Source organism: Homo sapiens, chromosome 3 (assembly GCF_000001405.40).
Source record: "Homo sapiens chromosome 3, GRCh38.p14 Primary Assembly".
Lineage (NCBI taxonomy): Eukaryota > Metazoa > Chordata > Mammalia > Primates > Hominidae > Homo > Homo sapiens.
This window is the reverse complement of record NC_000003.12, coordinates 122,949,174-122,965,102: the sequence shown is the minus strand read 5'-3', so window position 1 is coordinate 122,965,102 and position 15,929 is coordinate 122,949,174. Positions and strand designations below refer to the sequence as shown.

The 15,929-nt window shown below is 47.8% G+C and overlaps 1 protein-coding gene across 17 annotated transcripts in view; it reads left to right on the top strand.

Annotated features, from left to right (window-relative positions):
- Positions 1–15,929, top strand: part of SEMA5B (semaphorin 5B) — a 119,524-nt gene that overhangs the window by 63,503 nt on the left and 40,092 nt on the right. For 11 of the 17 annotated variants that reach the window (NR_046079.2, NM_001031702.4, XM_047448346.1 and 8 more), the window contains exon 2: positions 3,802–3,963. The exons of the other annotated variants lie outside the window; for them this stretch is intronic. Coding sequence is in view for 10 of the 11 variants with exons in the window: in NM_001256347.1 (NP_001243276.1) it covers positions 3,802–3,963 (162 nt within the window). In the remaining variant the exon portion in view is untranslated. The remainder of the gene's footprint in view (positions 1–3,801; positions 3,964–15,929) is intronic. 17 annotated transcript variants of the gene reach the window in all.

The window sequence follows — 15,929 nt, the reverse complement described above, 5'->3', positions numbered from 1 at the left end:
GTCCTTAGATGAACCTTGAGAACATTATGCTAATTGAAGTAAGCCAGTCACAAAGCTACCCTACTGTCCTCTTCCCTCCAGCACATGGAATCAAACACCAGCCTCCTCACCCTCCCTCCCTGACTCAGCCAGGAGGCTGTTCTCCTGGTTTCTGCTCAGTTTCACCCACTGTGGAGCCCCTCTGGGAAAGTTAAAGGGAGGGAGAATGAAAGAGGAGGGAGAGTGTTAATTAAACACCAGATGTTTAACTCTGTTAATTAATGGCTCTGTCACCCTGAGTGGCAGCAGCCTTCTCTTCTCTGTCTCCTTCACCCTCACTATTCTCTTTTTCTCTGGAGGGCCTTGAGTTTGAAGCTAAAGAACTCAACATTTGTTCAATGGGGCCTTGAGACCAGCAAAGGGTAAAGGGAGAAAGCTGGCTAGGGCAACCCAGGAAGAGCGGGTTCCCTTGTCCAGGAGGGAGGCATGGACATTTTGGCAGTAGGAATGGAAAGAAGGAACAGTGGGAGAGAGAGACCAAAGCCCAGAGGTCACAGAGAGACATGTTTTGTTTGGTGCACATAGGGATTTCAAAAAATGCAAGTGGTTGCAAGCATTTAAACATGGGAAAATTTTCACATAAATCTAGATGTGCAGATCTTCTTTAAAAATAGGCAGGTCTGGGCCTGTGTCCTCACACAGCAACAGTTAGCTGGTGGAAAGTAGAGCTGCGTAGCTGGTAGCTGTCCTACCCAGAAGAAACGTGTGTCCTCCCATCCTCCTCTGCCCCCACCCCACATACTTGGCTCATATGTCACATGTCACCTGCCATCCCATCTGGGGTTGGGATCCACTGAGGTACAGGTGCCAGGACTCGACAATGGGTTGCCTATAGGAGAAGACAGAGAGGAGAGCCTGAGAATGTTGAAACGTGAGTCAGGATATTTGGGGAAATTGTAGGACCAATGACAGAGATGAGGAACATGGGAGGAGCAGGTTAAGGGAGAAAAATGGCAAATTTATTTTGGGCAGGCTGCAGTAGTGATGCCTGGATGACATGGAGACAGAGGCGGCCTGGTGGTCTGGAGTCCGGAAGAGAAGGGCTGGCAATCTGCGGAGCTAGTGGGGCAGGGGTGGAAGTGGAAGCCCTGGGGAGAGAGGGAGGGAGGGAGGCTGAGACCACCCAGTATTGGCTACAGTGAGAGAAGAGGGAATTGAGGATAGAAACTTTGAGAACCACACATTTGGGAGAAAGAACCAGAAAGAAAAGTTAGGGCCAACTGAGAGGGTAGAAAGAACCTGGACTTTGTAACAACAGAGAAGTAGAAACAGGGTTCAATATTTTTATGGCACCTTCCTCTATATGATCTGTTTTAATGCCCAAGTGATATTTCCAGAAAGCCAAGGGAGTCAAATGTTCTGCTCCTCCCGATGCCCCGTGTTCTCTGTCTCCCTTCTTATCTGCTACAGCTGGCTCCCCAACGACACACAAAATCAGCCACTTATATCACAGCCTTTTAACCTCTTTCAGGCCATTTGGATTCTTATCTCTATTAACTTTAGAATAAAATCAGCCACTTATATCACAGCTTTTTCTTTTCTTTTTCTTTTTCTTTTTCTTTTTTTTTTTTGAGTCAGAGACTCGCTCTGTTTTCCAGGCTGGAGTGCAATGGCACAATCTTGGCTCACTACAACCTCCGCCTCCTGGGTTCAAGTGATTCTCCTGCCTCAGCCTCCCAAGTAGCTGGGAATACAGGTGCGGACCACCACACCTGGTAACTTGTTTGTTAGTAGAGATGGGGTTTCACCATGTTAGTCAGGCTGGTCTCGAACTCCTGATCTCAAGTGATCTGCCCACCTCGGCCTCCCAAAGTGCTGGGATTACAGGCATGAGCCACTGCACTCGGCCAGTTTGGATTCTTATCTCTAATAACTTTAGAGGGAAAGGCTTGGTCTGTAATTGAAAGTTTCATTAGCATCCCAGAAATGACCTGCTAGGTAAGCAATAGCCCCTGGTGCTGTCTGCTCATCTCGTTGAGTATGTAGGAGGGATGCAGCTTCTGTGACCAACACAGACACACATACGACTCTTTGCCACCCTGAAAAGTCTCTGCTCTCTGTGAGTGGCCAAAAGAATGGGGCTTTGGGGTCAGAGTGCCCTTGGGCCAGATCGGACCTGTAGCCACCCATTGTGACTTTTCCCTCCTCTCTAGCCTCCCTAGTTTATACACGTGTCAAATGAGAGTAAGGGTGGTGTGTGCATTAAATAGGATAATTTTCATGGGGGGTCAGGGGGTTGGGGAAGCTGGGGCAGAGTCTGAGCCCATCACCCCAGTCTGTGGTTCTTTCTGTCTCCCTCTGACACCACCAGCACAGAAAGCAAGGCAGCAGATGTTACTGGTCTCACTTCATTTCCATAGATTTACAAGCATCCCTTTATGTGTTACTGAAAAATTGGGTGTAAATCCTATTTTAGGAACACAGTGGAACTCATTACTTAAAGAACACTTTGGAAAATCCTTTTGGGAAGTGAATAATGATCACCTTGTGTGCCGGTGTTGATGAATTTCTTTTTGTTGTAGTGCAGTTCACCTGGAAGTTCTTCCCGCAATCTCCCCTTTCCATTTTGTGGCCGTCCTCTTTCTCACGGGACAGACCCTGTTCTCCTTTCCTGTGCCTGTCATTTCCACATCTCTGCTCCTCCCTCTCCACCACCCGCCGGGCCTGCATGTCGGGCTTCCCGATGTTCCTCCAGCAGTAGCTCCTTCTTCCCTGAGACCATGTGGCCATGACTGGCCGGGATCCATTTGCTGGCTGCTACTCCTTCTTCAGAAATTCAGTCACAGATGAGTCTCTGGATGCCAGAAATGTGTTTGCCAAGTGGGAATGACTGAGCGGGAGTCCCTAGGGTGAGTGTGGCAGGCAGAATAATGGCTCACCAAAGATGTCCATGTCCTAATCCCTAGAACCTGTGAATATGGTGCCTTACGATGCAAAAGGGAATTTGCAGATGTGATTCAGTCAAGGACCTTGAGGTAGGGAGATTATCCTGGATGATCTAGATGGGCCCAATGTAATCACAGGGATCCTTAAAAGTAGAGAACCTTGCCCAGCTGTGGTCCACGGGAGAGGCAACAGCGGAAGAAGGGTTAGAGATTGCAATGTGGCTAGCTTTAACTATGGAATGTGGGCAGCCTCTAGAAACTGAGAAAGGTGAAGAAGTGGATTCTCCCCCAGAGCCTCCATTGAGGAATGCAGTCCTGCTAATGCCTTGATTTTAGCCCACTGAGACCCATATTGGACTTCTAACCTATAGAAGCTTAAGGTAATACATGTGTGTTTGAGGCCTGGTGTGGTGGCTCACGCTTGTAGTCTCTTTGTAGAGAGAGAGGCAGGAGGACACTTTGGGAGGCTGAGGCAGGAAGCTCTCTTGAAGCCAGAAGTTCAAGACCAGCCTGGGCAACATAGTGAGATCACATCTACAAAAAGTTTTAAAAATTAGCCAGGTATGGTGGTGCAACCTGTTGTCACAACTACTTGGGGGGCTGAGGCAGGAGGATCTTTTGAGCCTAGGAGGTCAAGACTGCAATGAGCTGTGATCATGTTACTGCACTAGAGCCTGGGCAGCAGAGCAAGACCCCGCCTAAAAAAAAAAAAAAGTTTGTTTCAAGCCATTACTGTGGTGATTTGTTAAAGCAGCACCAAGAAACAAACACAGCAGCAACCATGTGGTCCCTGGGGCAGTCTGGCCTATATCTGACCTCATCTCTTTTGCCTGGTTCATCATGTATCCATGACTTACCCAAAATTCTCCCCCTTCAGTGAGTGGTTCCAGCTGGTGCCTGGCCTGTGTCTCTTGGATGCCCTGTGGCTTCAGTCCGTCTCCTGTTGCCCACCACCTCGTCCCTGGGCCGCCTGATACCCCAGCCCAACAGCTAAGGTGTGGATGGACAGTAGGGGGCTGGCTTCTCTCACTGGTCAGGGGTAAGTGTGCCCAGGGGAGTGTGGGGGGCTGCAGCAGGTACCAGACTGAGGGGAGAGCAGGGAGAAGACCCCCTCATCTGGGGCATCATCAGCATACCTCCTAGGACCTCAGTCCACTGTATTTGAGCAGCTCTTCCTTTTTAAAAATTGTGGTAACATATATATAACATGAAATTGGCCATTTAACCCTTTTTAAGTCCACGGTTCAGTAGTATCAGGTACACTCACATTGTTATGCAGCCATCACCACCCTCCATCTCCAGAACACTTCATCTTGCAAAACTGAAACTGTACACCCATTAAACAATAACTCTGGCTTCCTCCCGCCCCAGGCAAGCACCATTCTACTTTCTGTCTCCATGGATTTGACTACTCTAGGTACCTCATATAAATGGAATCATGCAGTGTTTATCTTTTCGTGGCTGGCTTACTTCACTTAGCATAATGTCCGCAAGGGCCATCCATGTTGTAGCATGTGTCAGAATTTCCTCCTTTTATAAGGCTGAATAATATTCCATTGTATATATCTTTCACATTTTGTGTATCCATTTATCTGTTGATGGACACTTGGGTTACTTCTGCCTTTTGGCTATTGTAAATAATGCTACTATGAACATGTGTACAAATATTTCTTCGATATCCTACTTCTGGTTCTTGTGGGTATATACCCAGAAGTGGAATTGCTGGATCATATGGTAATTCTATATTTAATTTTTTGAAAAACCTCCAGACTGTTTTACATAGCGGCTGTACCATTTTACATTCCCACCAACTCATTTTAACTATTTTCAAGTATGCGGTTCAGTGGCATTAAGTTCATTCACACCGTCCTGTAAGCATCACCACCATCCATCTCTGTAGGAGCTCTTTGAATTACAGAGAACTAACTCTCTGGATGTGAAGAAACTTACTGGGGGAAGTGAGTAGAAATGGGCCCTCCCCACAAAGATTTATGCTGAGCAACTGAATTGGTGCTGGAAATCCCAAGAAAATCCAGGCCTTTAGTTGGATTTGCTGCCTGTTTTTGAGTTGTGGGCATGTTTTCAAATGCAGTTTTCATTTTATGCAGCAACTGAATATCTGATAGTGAAATGTTTCCACGGAGAGAGCCTGCCCAGGGGGAGGAGGAAAAGGAGGCTACTCTAATGAATAGATAAGCTTGATTTGCGTCTGGCGACATCCTTAGCATTTAATTTCAGCAATTAAAGTAGGCAAGTCCCCTTTGTTTTCTTTTTCCTTGCAAAAACAATAAAACATTACAGAATGTTTGGTAAATAAGAAACAAAATCCTACTCATGATATTACCTTAGTGAAACCACCACCACCATTTGTAATGCTAATCTGTGCAAGGCAAGAACCAAACATGCTATTCACCTTATTTCATTTAAGCCACACTACTACTCTATGAGGCAGGGCTCTGGTTCTCCCCGATGGCTGCATGCTCTCTGTGCATGCATTTGGTCCATCTTCCTCCACATGTCTGTCTTCTACACAATTGCCCTCACGATGTTCACACTTTGTTTTCCCAAGTGGTGTAAACATTCTTGTTATATTCTTCTTGTTTTCATTCCTTACCGTGTGTTGACTTACTCTGTTTGTAGGAGCAAGACCAGTCTCTATGATCACAAATACAGAAGATTATAGACCATGTTTATGAGATTTTCGCCATCTGCAAACATTCCCTGGAGTGGCCTGGGCTCCACCCACATGGCTATGTCAAATAATGTCATTTTCTAAATGGCTGTGTCCTGTGTGGTGTGCTGGCATTGAGTAAGGGGCAGACTCCTGAGCCCGACTGCCTGGGTTTGAATCCAGCTTTTACCAGTCTGACCTCATGCAAGTTACTTTTAACTGGTCTGTGCCTCAGTTTTCCCATCCACGAAATGGCGACGATTACAATACCCGCCTCACGGGGTTATTGTTTGGATTAAACGGCATAATATAAAGAGCATAGACCACTTCTGGGTACACAATAACATGGTTGTTATTGTTGTTGTCACTGTTACTTAATCCTACTATTACTTAGTCTCTGCCGCGAGCTCCCTGCCCAATCTTGCTGTCTCCTCCCATCCTCAGTTTCTTCATCTATAAAGTACAGTGCTGAACCATGTAATCTGTGTCAGAGCCCTTCTTGTTAAACTTTTGGTCATCACCTTGTTCCTTTTATCTTCCCCATTGCAGCTGGAGGGATGTGGGTGGGACTGCAGGGAGGACTGCCGGAACACTCATGACACACATGCGTGACTTGGAGGTTTCTAGGAATATATGGAAGAGAGAAGAACTCAGCCCAGATTGCAGAAAGCAGAGGCAGGGGATGAAGTTGCCCCTGGGAGAGGGCAAGGGGGTGGGGGTAGGAGAGGCTCCCCATACCCTCCCCCCATAGATTTTAGAGCTAAAAAGTGCTAGGAAGGCTTTCCTCCCTCTGCCTTGCCTCTCTGGTCCAAATCTTCCCTCTGGGCCCCAGTCCCCCAGATGGTCTAAAAGGGAAGAAAAGAGGAAAATCCGTATCAAATCTGCTCTATTCAGAGCAATGGGAAGGCATCTGCATCTCAATCTTATCTTTGTGCTGAGTTGGGCTAAGCTTGGCCCCACAAGTGGTGAGTGATGTGTGGGTGGGAAGATGCCTTCACCACCCCCACGGAGAAGCCCACTTGTGGGCCACCATACTCGGTGGCCCTGGGCAGGGGCAGGAGAGGGCTGCCCCCACAATGCTTTCCCTTCCTGCCAAACTGCAGACAGTACACATTCTTCCCTGCTCTTGGTTTCCCCTCTATTTCCTCTTCTTTTATTTTCCTTCTCTTTTTCTCCCCCTTTCCCAGGCAGGAAGCCAAGTGGAGACTTTGAATGGAGGCAAGGATGGAGGGGACCTGGGGAAGAGGACTGGCCTGAATCACCTTCCCCAAAGGTCCTCATGGACTGAGCTGGAGGTGGGGACTAAAGGAAGCATCGCCTTCCTTCCCACCCACCCTGGCCCCTGGCTGTCAGGCCTGGGCTGGGGGAAGCTGCCAGGTGGCTGTCATCACTCTGGGCTTGGGGCTCCAGAGTCTGCCCTCTCCATCTGGAACCTCTAGAATTTGTTTCTCTGGAGCCATTCAGGACCTGGGAAAAACTGCCTCCCACAGCCCAAATTCACAGGAGGCTGGTGTGCAGCAGGAAGTCAGCTTAATAATTTATAGCCAGAAAGCACTCTCCCTAGTAAGGAAGCCAACTCAGAAAACCAAATTAAACTGGGAGGGCTGCTTGGAGAGCACTTGGAGCCAGGGCTGTGGAATGCAACGATAAGGCTGGGGCCAGTTTGTCCTCCAGGGAGGATGGTGAGTGTAGCAGCCCAGGGTGTGGGCTTATGCAGCAGACAGTCGCGGATTCAAATCCCAGCTTCACTGGCAGTGGCAGGGGGACCTTGGGCAAGTGCCTCAGCTTCTAGAATGATGCTTATGTGGGCACCTCTTGGCCTTCTTGCAAAGCTGCTGTGAGATCTTGCAGGGAAAGAGCTTACTTAGCACAGTGCCTAGCATGCTGTCAATATGCTCCAGGCATTTGTACTCAAGCCCCCATCTTTTAGGGTCGTAGGTTGTCTTTTTCTTCCTGATGACACCCTTTCATGGTTTTTTACACTAAAAAGAAAAGAAGTGTGAGGTTACCCTGGAGAGGACCTCCTTGTCGGCCGCAGTATGAGTGGCCGTGCTGCTCCTGCCTGGGTGCAGCTCTGTGGGCCACACGGCTTCCAGCCTGATCCCTCATTCTCCCTGCTTCTGTCTGGAGCCAAGCCCCACAGTTGGACTGGGGAATTCTCCACAAGGCTGCAAATTGGGCTGAGATCCAGCTGCATTCTGGGTGCAAGACCAGCTTCCCAATGTCTAGAGTTGCCCTGCTGACAAATGGCCTGCTCTAATCCACCTGTCCCCTTGCTCACTGCCACCAAACTTCCCAAAGCATGCACAGATCTGACCACATCTTTCTACTGTCCCAAACTATCCACAAATCCTCCTCTTCAGCAGAGGGAAAACTCCTGAATCTTTAGGTTTGTGCTCAAGTCTCACTGTGATTTGGCCTCGGTCCTGCTTTCCAGACTCATCTCCCTCTCTGCCTCTCTCCACCAGCTTCTCCAGATTGTCCAAGGATAGGCCAGAGCCAAGTCTTTCCCCTGCTGTGCCCTCTGTCTGGAATGCTCTTCGCCCCTGATGGCTGGGGAAGCTCCACCCTTGTTCCCTTCAAGAGAGTTCCGCCTTCTACGTGAGGCCTCTTAGACACCCGCCTGACTGCAGCCCGTCACCCGCTTTCCCAGGACGTTTTTTCCCTTTTAGGGCACTCACATCAGCTGCTTCCCGCTGCTCTACCCATGCATCTGTCTTGCTGGACGTTGCAGGAGAGCCGGCCCGATGCATCCTCGTGCTGAATGGAATGGTACCAGCAACTCAGCTGCTACCCACCCCGGGGTGGTCTGGGCGATCCCCTGTCTGAAAACGGGGGAGGGTTCGGTTGTGCAGGGGGCACCTGTTGGGAGACTGGTTTGCGCTCTGTGGGGGAATTCAGCTCTGATACACACTCTCTTAGCCTCTGTCTCCGTCATCCTTCGCCCCTGAGCAGAGGGCACCGGTCGCTGTGTAGCTGCAGGCCTCTTGATTGCTCCGGCCTTGGCTCCTGCCCCCACTTCTCTGCGCTCCTTCACTGTCACTCGCCAATTTCACTCACTCCCCCTGTTACAGCAAACCCTCTTCCTAATCTCTGTGCTGGGAAAATGAGCCCAGGAGAAGTCCCATACAAGGTGGGGAGGCCTCAGGGGGCGTGTGCATGGGCGTGCATTCTCTCACACACATGCGCGTGCATTCACACGCCTCCAGGCACCATAAGAGTGACCCCAAACCCAGAACCCACAGGGAACTGGGACAGCAGCGTGAGAGAAGGCAAGAGAAGCTCTGGCCAAAGATTTGGGAAAATGCTTTCTTCACTGCTGAAGATTTCCCAAAATAGCAGGAGTTGGCTGGTGCTGCATCTCCCCTCCCCCACTCCTAGAGCACCCTGCCCCAGCTCCAATGCCAAGCAGGCCCGAGGCAGGGCAAGGCACTGGCCATCTGTGCCCCCTTCCCCATCCAGACCCGGGGCCATGGGTCGCTGTCTGTGCTCACTGGAGACATGTCTCCTCTCCTCTTTTAGACTGTAAGCTCCTTGAAGGCAAGGACCATGGTTTTGTCTTGTGAACCTCCCTCCTCCCCGCTTTCTCATCTATACAGGGCCCAGCACATAGTAGGTGTTCAGTAAATGCTCAGTGAAGTATTATGTAAATGAATGAACAGATACTTAGGTAACTAGTGGAATATGTTTTACATATACTAGTAAACTAATATTAATGGATTTCATAAAGAGCCTACTCGGTACCAGACTTAGTTCTGGGTGTATCAAAGCAGTCTCTCTAAGCAAGAAGCTATTAACCTTATTTCACAGGTGATGAAACCAAGGTTTGCAACCAGGTAGAGCAGCCTCCCAAGCTCAGGGCTTTCTATGATACTATACAACCCTCGGGATAATTGGATTGGCTATGCACTGCTGGTGGGGAAATTCTGGAATTATTTTAACATCAAATCAGACAGACGTGTTAGAAATAGAAATTTCTGTTTGTCTTGGGAGTATTTGGTTGTACGTATGAGAAACCAAACTGTATGGGATAGGAATTATATTTAGTTAATATAATTGAGATGTGAAAAGCAAGGGCTTAAACTAGTTGAGACTGTATTATTCGCTAATAATAATAGCACTTATACAATGCCTACTTTGTGGCAGATGCTGTTCTAGGCCTGTTAGATAAAAATAACTTATTTCATCTCCACAACAGCTGTGAGCTGGGTGTTATTATTCTCCCCATTTTGCAGAGAAGGAAACGAGAGACACAGCAAGCATAGGAAAGGAGTCTGGAGGTAGACAGAACAGAGCTGGCTCCATCTTCAACATTCCAGGTTCCACCTAGCTTAGCATATGGCTAAAGGTCACGTCCTTTGTTTTTTTAGAGACACGGTCTAAAAAAAAAAAAGAAGAAGATGATGACTACTCAGGTAGGCTCAACACCTGCAATCCCAGCATTTTGGGAGGTTGAGGTGATAGGATAGCTTGAGTCCAGGAGTTTGAGACCAGCCAGGGCAACACAGTGGACTCTGTTTCTACAAAAAAAAAAAAACAAAAAACAAAATTGCCCAGCCTGGTGGTATGTGCCTGTAGTCCCAGCTACTCTGGAGGCTGAGGAGGGAGGATCGCTTGAGCCTGGGAGGTTGAGGCTGCAGTGGCTGTGATCATTCCACTGCACTCCAGCCTAGGCGGCAAAGTGAGACCCTGTCTCAAAAAAAAAAAAAAAAAAAGATGACCACCCCACAGGGCCCATATTTTTCTGTTCCAGTTTCCCCTGCAAAGACTGACTTGATCTGCTTTGCAATCCTTAGCATATGGCTAAAGGTCACTTACCAGCTGCAGATGGCTACTGTGGCACCATTCCTCCTATCTGCCAACCACTCTGGAAAAAGGGAAGCCCTCTTAGAGCACGTCCCTGTAAGCCCCACTGACAACCTCCTCATTCATCTCATGGGCCACCTCTTCCTGAAAGACTAGGAAAAGTTTTGAGCAGGGCAGGTTGCCTCCTGCCCTCATGAAGCAGAGGCTCCTTTAGAAAGGAGGAAGGCGAGGACAGACTGAGGAGGCAATGCCTGTTGGCAACTCCTAGTCTGACACAACTCCAACGGGATTAAGTAAAAACGGGAAATTTTATTACAAGGGTCTGGGAGTGGGGGTGGCTCATGGAAGTAGAATGTATTTAAACCTCAGGAAAGGGCTGGAACAGGGAACTGGAAAGCTGTCAGCATGCCTCTGTCTCCTGTCACTGGTCTTTGTCTTCAGATTGTCCTCAGCTCACATGGCAGGTAGCAGAGAACTGCCCCACGGTGGGCACAGAGGCTCATGCCTGTAATCCCAGCATTTTGGGAGGCTGAGGGATTACTTGAGGCCAGCAGCTTGAGGTTACAGTGAGCTATGATCATGCTGCTGCATTCCACCCTGGTTGACAGCAGAGTGATATCCCGTCTCATAAAAACAAACAAACAAAAAACAGAAGAATATGACCACCACACACATTTACATATTCCAGTTTCCTCTATAAAGACTGACTTGACCTTGGGGGTTCACACACCCACATTGCTGTGGGAGAGACCTGAATTGTCTGTTTTGATCACATGACCATCCTGGTATAAGCAGCTATGGCTGGGATGGGGACCCCATGGTACATATGAGGCTGCTGGGGCCTACCCCTTTGACCATAAATGGAGGGGAGATGATTTCCATAGATAGGGAATTCTTGGGAGTTGGGAAGTCACCTCCCAATTCTAGAACTTGCCTCGAAAAGTCAGACCCCATAACATTTCCAGTGATATGGGAACCAATCACTCTTCTTTTTTCAGTATGATACCTGCAGTGGTGCTGAAATTTGCAAAGCTGCAGGCATAGACTCCTTGCTCTTGCCTCACCTGGAGCGAAGGTAATTGAGTAGAGGAGATCCCAGATCTAGGCCCTGTTCCATCCTTTCCCCACCCGTCATGTCCTGTCCTTCCCTTCTCTCCTGAAACAGCAGACAGACGTGCTGTGCTGGGGCCGAGGTGGACACAGTAATATTAATCTAGCAATTACTGATTCAAGAGGGAGTTGGAGGACATATTTACATAAAAATCTAATGAGAATGGAACTTCTGCTGCAGAACTTAGGTACCTTAAGGCCTGGGGTTCAGGGTAGGAGAAGAGGCCCAGGATATGCTCCTAATTCGGGCCCCTGGAGCTCAGGATCTGGCCACATACAGGGCTAGGCCTGGGGCTCTGAAGCTGGTGGTCAGACCTGGGGCGGGGAGGCAGAGAGGCCTGGGAAGGGAGCACAGGTTAGCGGGAGGGTGGGAAAGAGTGAGGGGAGAGGAGGGCAATTGTCCTGGCACCTTGGCTGTTCTTAGGGGCTGACAAGAGAAAAGCCCCAGCTAAGGGCTAAAAAGCTGTTATTTGCATATGCATTGAGTATCCCTAATGAGGTGTTCTATCAGTCAGGGTCCCCCCAGGAAACAGATGACATACTCACTTAGGGCAATGTGAGGGCAGTTTAATAAAGGAACTGTTTACAAAGGTGTAGGAAGGGGGTTTGGGAACCATATGGGATAACTCCCTGTGCAGTACGCAGGGGCTGGTAAGCAAGGAGGCGGCACCACCCCTAGTTCTGAAGGGAGGACAGAGGGAGCAATTTCCTTCCCAAGCCTGGAAGCAGACGAGCTCTGGTCTGTTGAGGGATGCAGCTGTGCTCACTCTGCTGCCTTCTCCTCCCTCTGTTGGCCAAACCCAAGCAGGGCCTCCTTGGATGCAGTTCCCCCACATCCATCCACCTCCCTGCTGGCGCAGAGCAGGGAGGAGGAGAGCCAGGGCAAATGTGGAGGTGCAGGCAGAGGGCATCCAGCATAAGTGTCAGAGGGCAAAAGGAAGTGCTCCAGTCCCTGTTCCTCTTTCCCCAGAGCACCAGAATGACTCATGCTAGTCGATCACTCAGTGTCTGCCAGGTACTGCCCTAGGCCTTTTAAAGGTAATAACTCCTTTCCTCCTCACAACTGCTGAAGAAGTTGTTGTTGTTATTATCATCCCCAGTTTGGAGAAACTAAGGCAGAGAAAGGTTAAGTGTTTTTCCCAGAGTCACACAGCTAGCAAGGAGGAGGACTAGGACTGGGCCTCGGGTTGTCTGGCTCCAGAGATTTGGCCTTGCCCTTTGAATCCCTCTTCCCCAGCCCTGTGGCCTTGTTTGAGGGGCCAGGGGTCAATGTCAGGAAAAGGGGTTGGTGGGCTCCAAGGATGGACAGCACGGCGAAACCCCATGCCACAGGACGGACCCAGGCTAGCACTGAGGATAAATTCCATGTGAGTGACGGTGTGAAAAATCATTCAAGGGAGTAGGTTTGGATCAAATCTCCCTCCCAGAGGGTCTCTGCTAAGAGGAATGGTTAGGCCCTTCTGGGGAGGAGCAAAGTATGAACGAGTTTGAGCCTGAGGATAAGGGGATCAAAAAGGTGCTGTGGGTCCTAATTCCCTGTGGGGTGCAGACCAGGGAGGGAGTGGGGGGAGAAGGGGTCAGTTGGGTGCTCTGGCTTCGTGCTGTTATTTCCTTGGAGGCTTGCAGCCATTCAGTGATGGGTATTATTCCATTTCACACACACGTGAAGAAACTTAGGCAGGAAAAAAGTAATCCTACTGTAATTTTCCAGACCTGGAGTAAGGTAGGGGCAGTAGGAAGGGAAGAGAGAGGAAGGGTTGGGGCAAAACTCTTAGAGCAGGAAGGAGCCCCAGCCCTCTAGTCCTCCAGCTTCTACCCTGGGAGCTGCTCATCAGAATCACCTGGGAATTCCATACCTGCCAGCCCAGGACTCTGCCCCCTCAGGGGGATGATTCTGATTCACCCCAGCTCCTGTCAGGGATCCCTAATCTAGTTCAACCTTTCATTTCATTGCTGAAGAAAATGACACCAAGGAGGTCACTCTGGGTTAGAGACCTTTGCGAGACGTAGGGTCAGCGGGGCTTGGTGACATGTTAGACAGACTAGCGAAGGAGAGAGGAGGTGGAAGGCGACAAGTTAGACAAATGTTAGGGCTTTTCCAGGAGTTTTAGTGAACCCAAACTAGTTGTTTAAAAGTTTCTTAAATCTTAAAACTTTATTGAGTAGCCAATATGTTTACCTGGTCACAAATGAAAATAATATAAAAAGGTATTTACTGAGAAGCCTTGATTCCCATTTTGCTACTTATAGATAACCTACAAAGATTAGTTTTGTTTTATTTTTCTAGTGTATATCAATGCTAATATAAGCAAATATAAATACATGTGTTCTTATTTTTACTGTCTTATTTTCACAAAAGTTACCATGCTAATAAGCTGTTCTGCATCTTGCTTTTTTCACTTTTTTGATACGGATATTTTTCCATATCAAAACCTACAGAAAGCCTGGGCAGCAGAACAAGACCCCTCCACTTACAACAGAGCATGCCCCTCTAGCCAGGCATGATGGTGCATGCCTGTGGTCCCAACCACTAGAGAGGCTGAGCTGGAAGGATCGCTTGAGTCCAGGAGGTCAAGACTGCAGTGAGCCATGATCGTGCCACTGCATTCCAACCTGGGAGACAGAGCAAGACCCTGTCTCTCTAAAAATAAAATAAAATAAATAGAGAAAATCTTCACACTTTTTAACAGCTGCATAATATTCCATTGTGAAGATACACCCTAGGTTATTTGGGCAATCTCCTGTTTCTGAATATTTGGTTGTTTTCTGCCTTTCTGTTCTTTCAAAGGATGGCACAATGAACAATCTCATTCGTAAGTCACTTTGCACATGTGCAGGTGCCTCTGTGGTCTGTTTTTGCCTCTCAACTATCTGTGAAGAGGCAGGTTTGATTTTTCAATTTACAATCTGTCACAGATGGATACTTACGTAAAATTCAATAAAAGTAAATTACTAGAGAAATGAATTGAAATAAAACATGCAACATACAAACCTGAATATTTTGTTATTAGATTCAATACACATAAAATTACTCTGTCAAATTATTGTAAAGATTTTTAAACACTGACTCTCAAATCTCTGCATTTCTGTGACTGTGGAGTTGTTCCAGTGTGTGAATTGACACTGGTTTGTGGAACACACTTCAAGGAGAAAGAGTGTAGACTCAAAGAATTAGGTTGCTAGGTCAACGGGTAAATACATGGGTGGTTTTGCCAGATATTGCCAGGATCACCCCACAGGGATTGTGCCATCTTGCACACCCCAACCCCTACAGTAGTATATGGTAGTGGCCCTCTCCCCACTGCTTCACCGGAAGACTGCAGCAAGTAACTTGGATTTTTGCTAAACCCATAGATGAGAAGTGGTATCTCAGTCTATGTTTTAACTTGTGTTGCTCTTGTTATGAGTGAGGATAAGTGTCATTCATATTTTAAGCCCTTGTTTGTATGTATATTCTTTGCCTATTTTTCTACTGGATTGTTAGTCTTTTCCTTCTTGATTCCTAGAAGTTCTATAATCACCCGATGAATTCATCTTGCTCACTGTCCAGAAAAGCCAATGTATTGAGAACAGCGGGTTTTTGCAATAGAGAAAGAACTTAATAGATGCAAAGCCAGCTAAGCAGAAGGACAGGAGTTTATCATTATTCAAAGCAGCCTCCCCCAAAATTTAAAGGATAATTTGGGGAGCAGTGGGGCTAGGGAGTGGAGAGTACTGATTGGTTAGGTCGTGGATGAAATCACAGGGAGTTGAAGCCTGTCTTCTTGTGCTGAGTTCAGTTCCTGGGTCGGGGGGCCACAAGGTCAGATGAACCAGTTTATCAGTCTGGGTGGCATCAGCAGATCCAACAGAATGCAGGGTCTGAAAAATACCTAGAACACCAATCTGAGGTTTTACAATAATGTTATCTATAGGAGCAATTAGGAATCTTGTGACATCTGGCTGAATGACTCCTGAGCCATACTGTCTTATAATGTGGCTAATTTGTTAGTATTATAAAGGAGATCTGATCTCCAAGCAAGGAGGTGGTTTGCTTTGGGAAGGGGCTGTAATCTTCTCTGCTTCAAAGTTAAACTGTAAACTAAATTCCTTCCACAGTTAGCTTGGCCTAGGCCTAGGAATGAGCAAGGGCAACTTGCAGGCTGGAAGCAAGATGGAGTCTGTTAGGTCAGATTTCCTGCACTGTCATACTTTTTGCAAAGGCAGTTTCAGTTCTTTATATATTAGGAATATTAGTCTCTTGTCTGTGATATGAATTGCAAATATTTTTTCTAGTTTGTCATTTTCCTTATGATTTTGATTGATGTTGTTTTTGGGGAGAGGAGGGGGAAGTGCAGGTGTTTGTTTTTTAATGTAGTCAAATTTATCTATCTTTTCTTTGATGGCTTCTGGATTTTGAGCCATGGTTTCCCATGCCA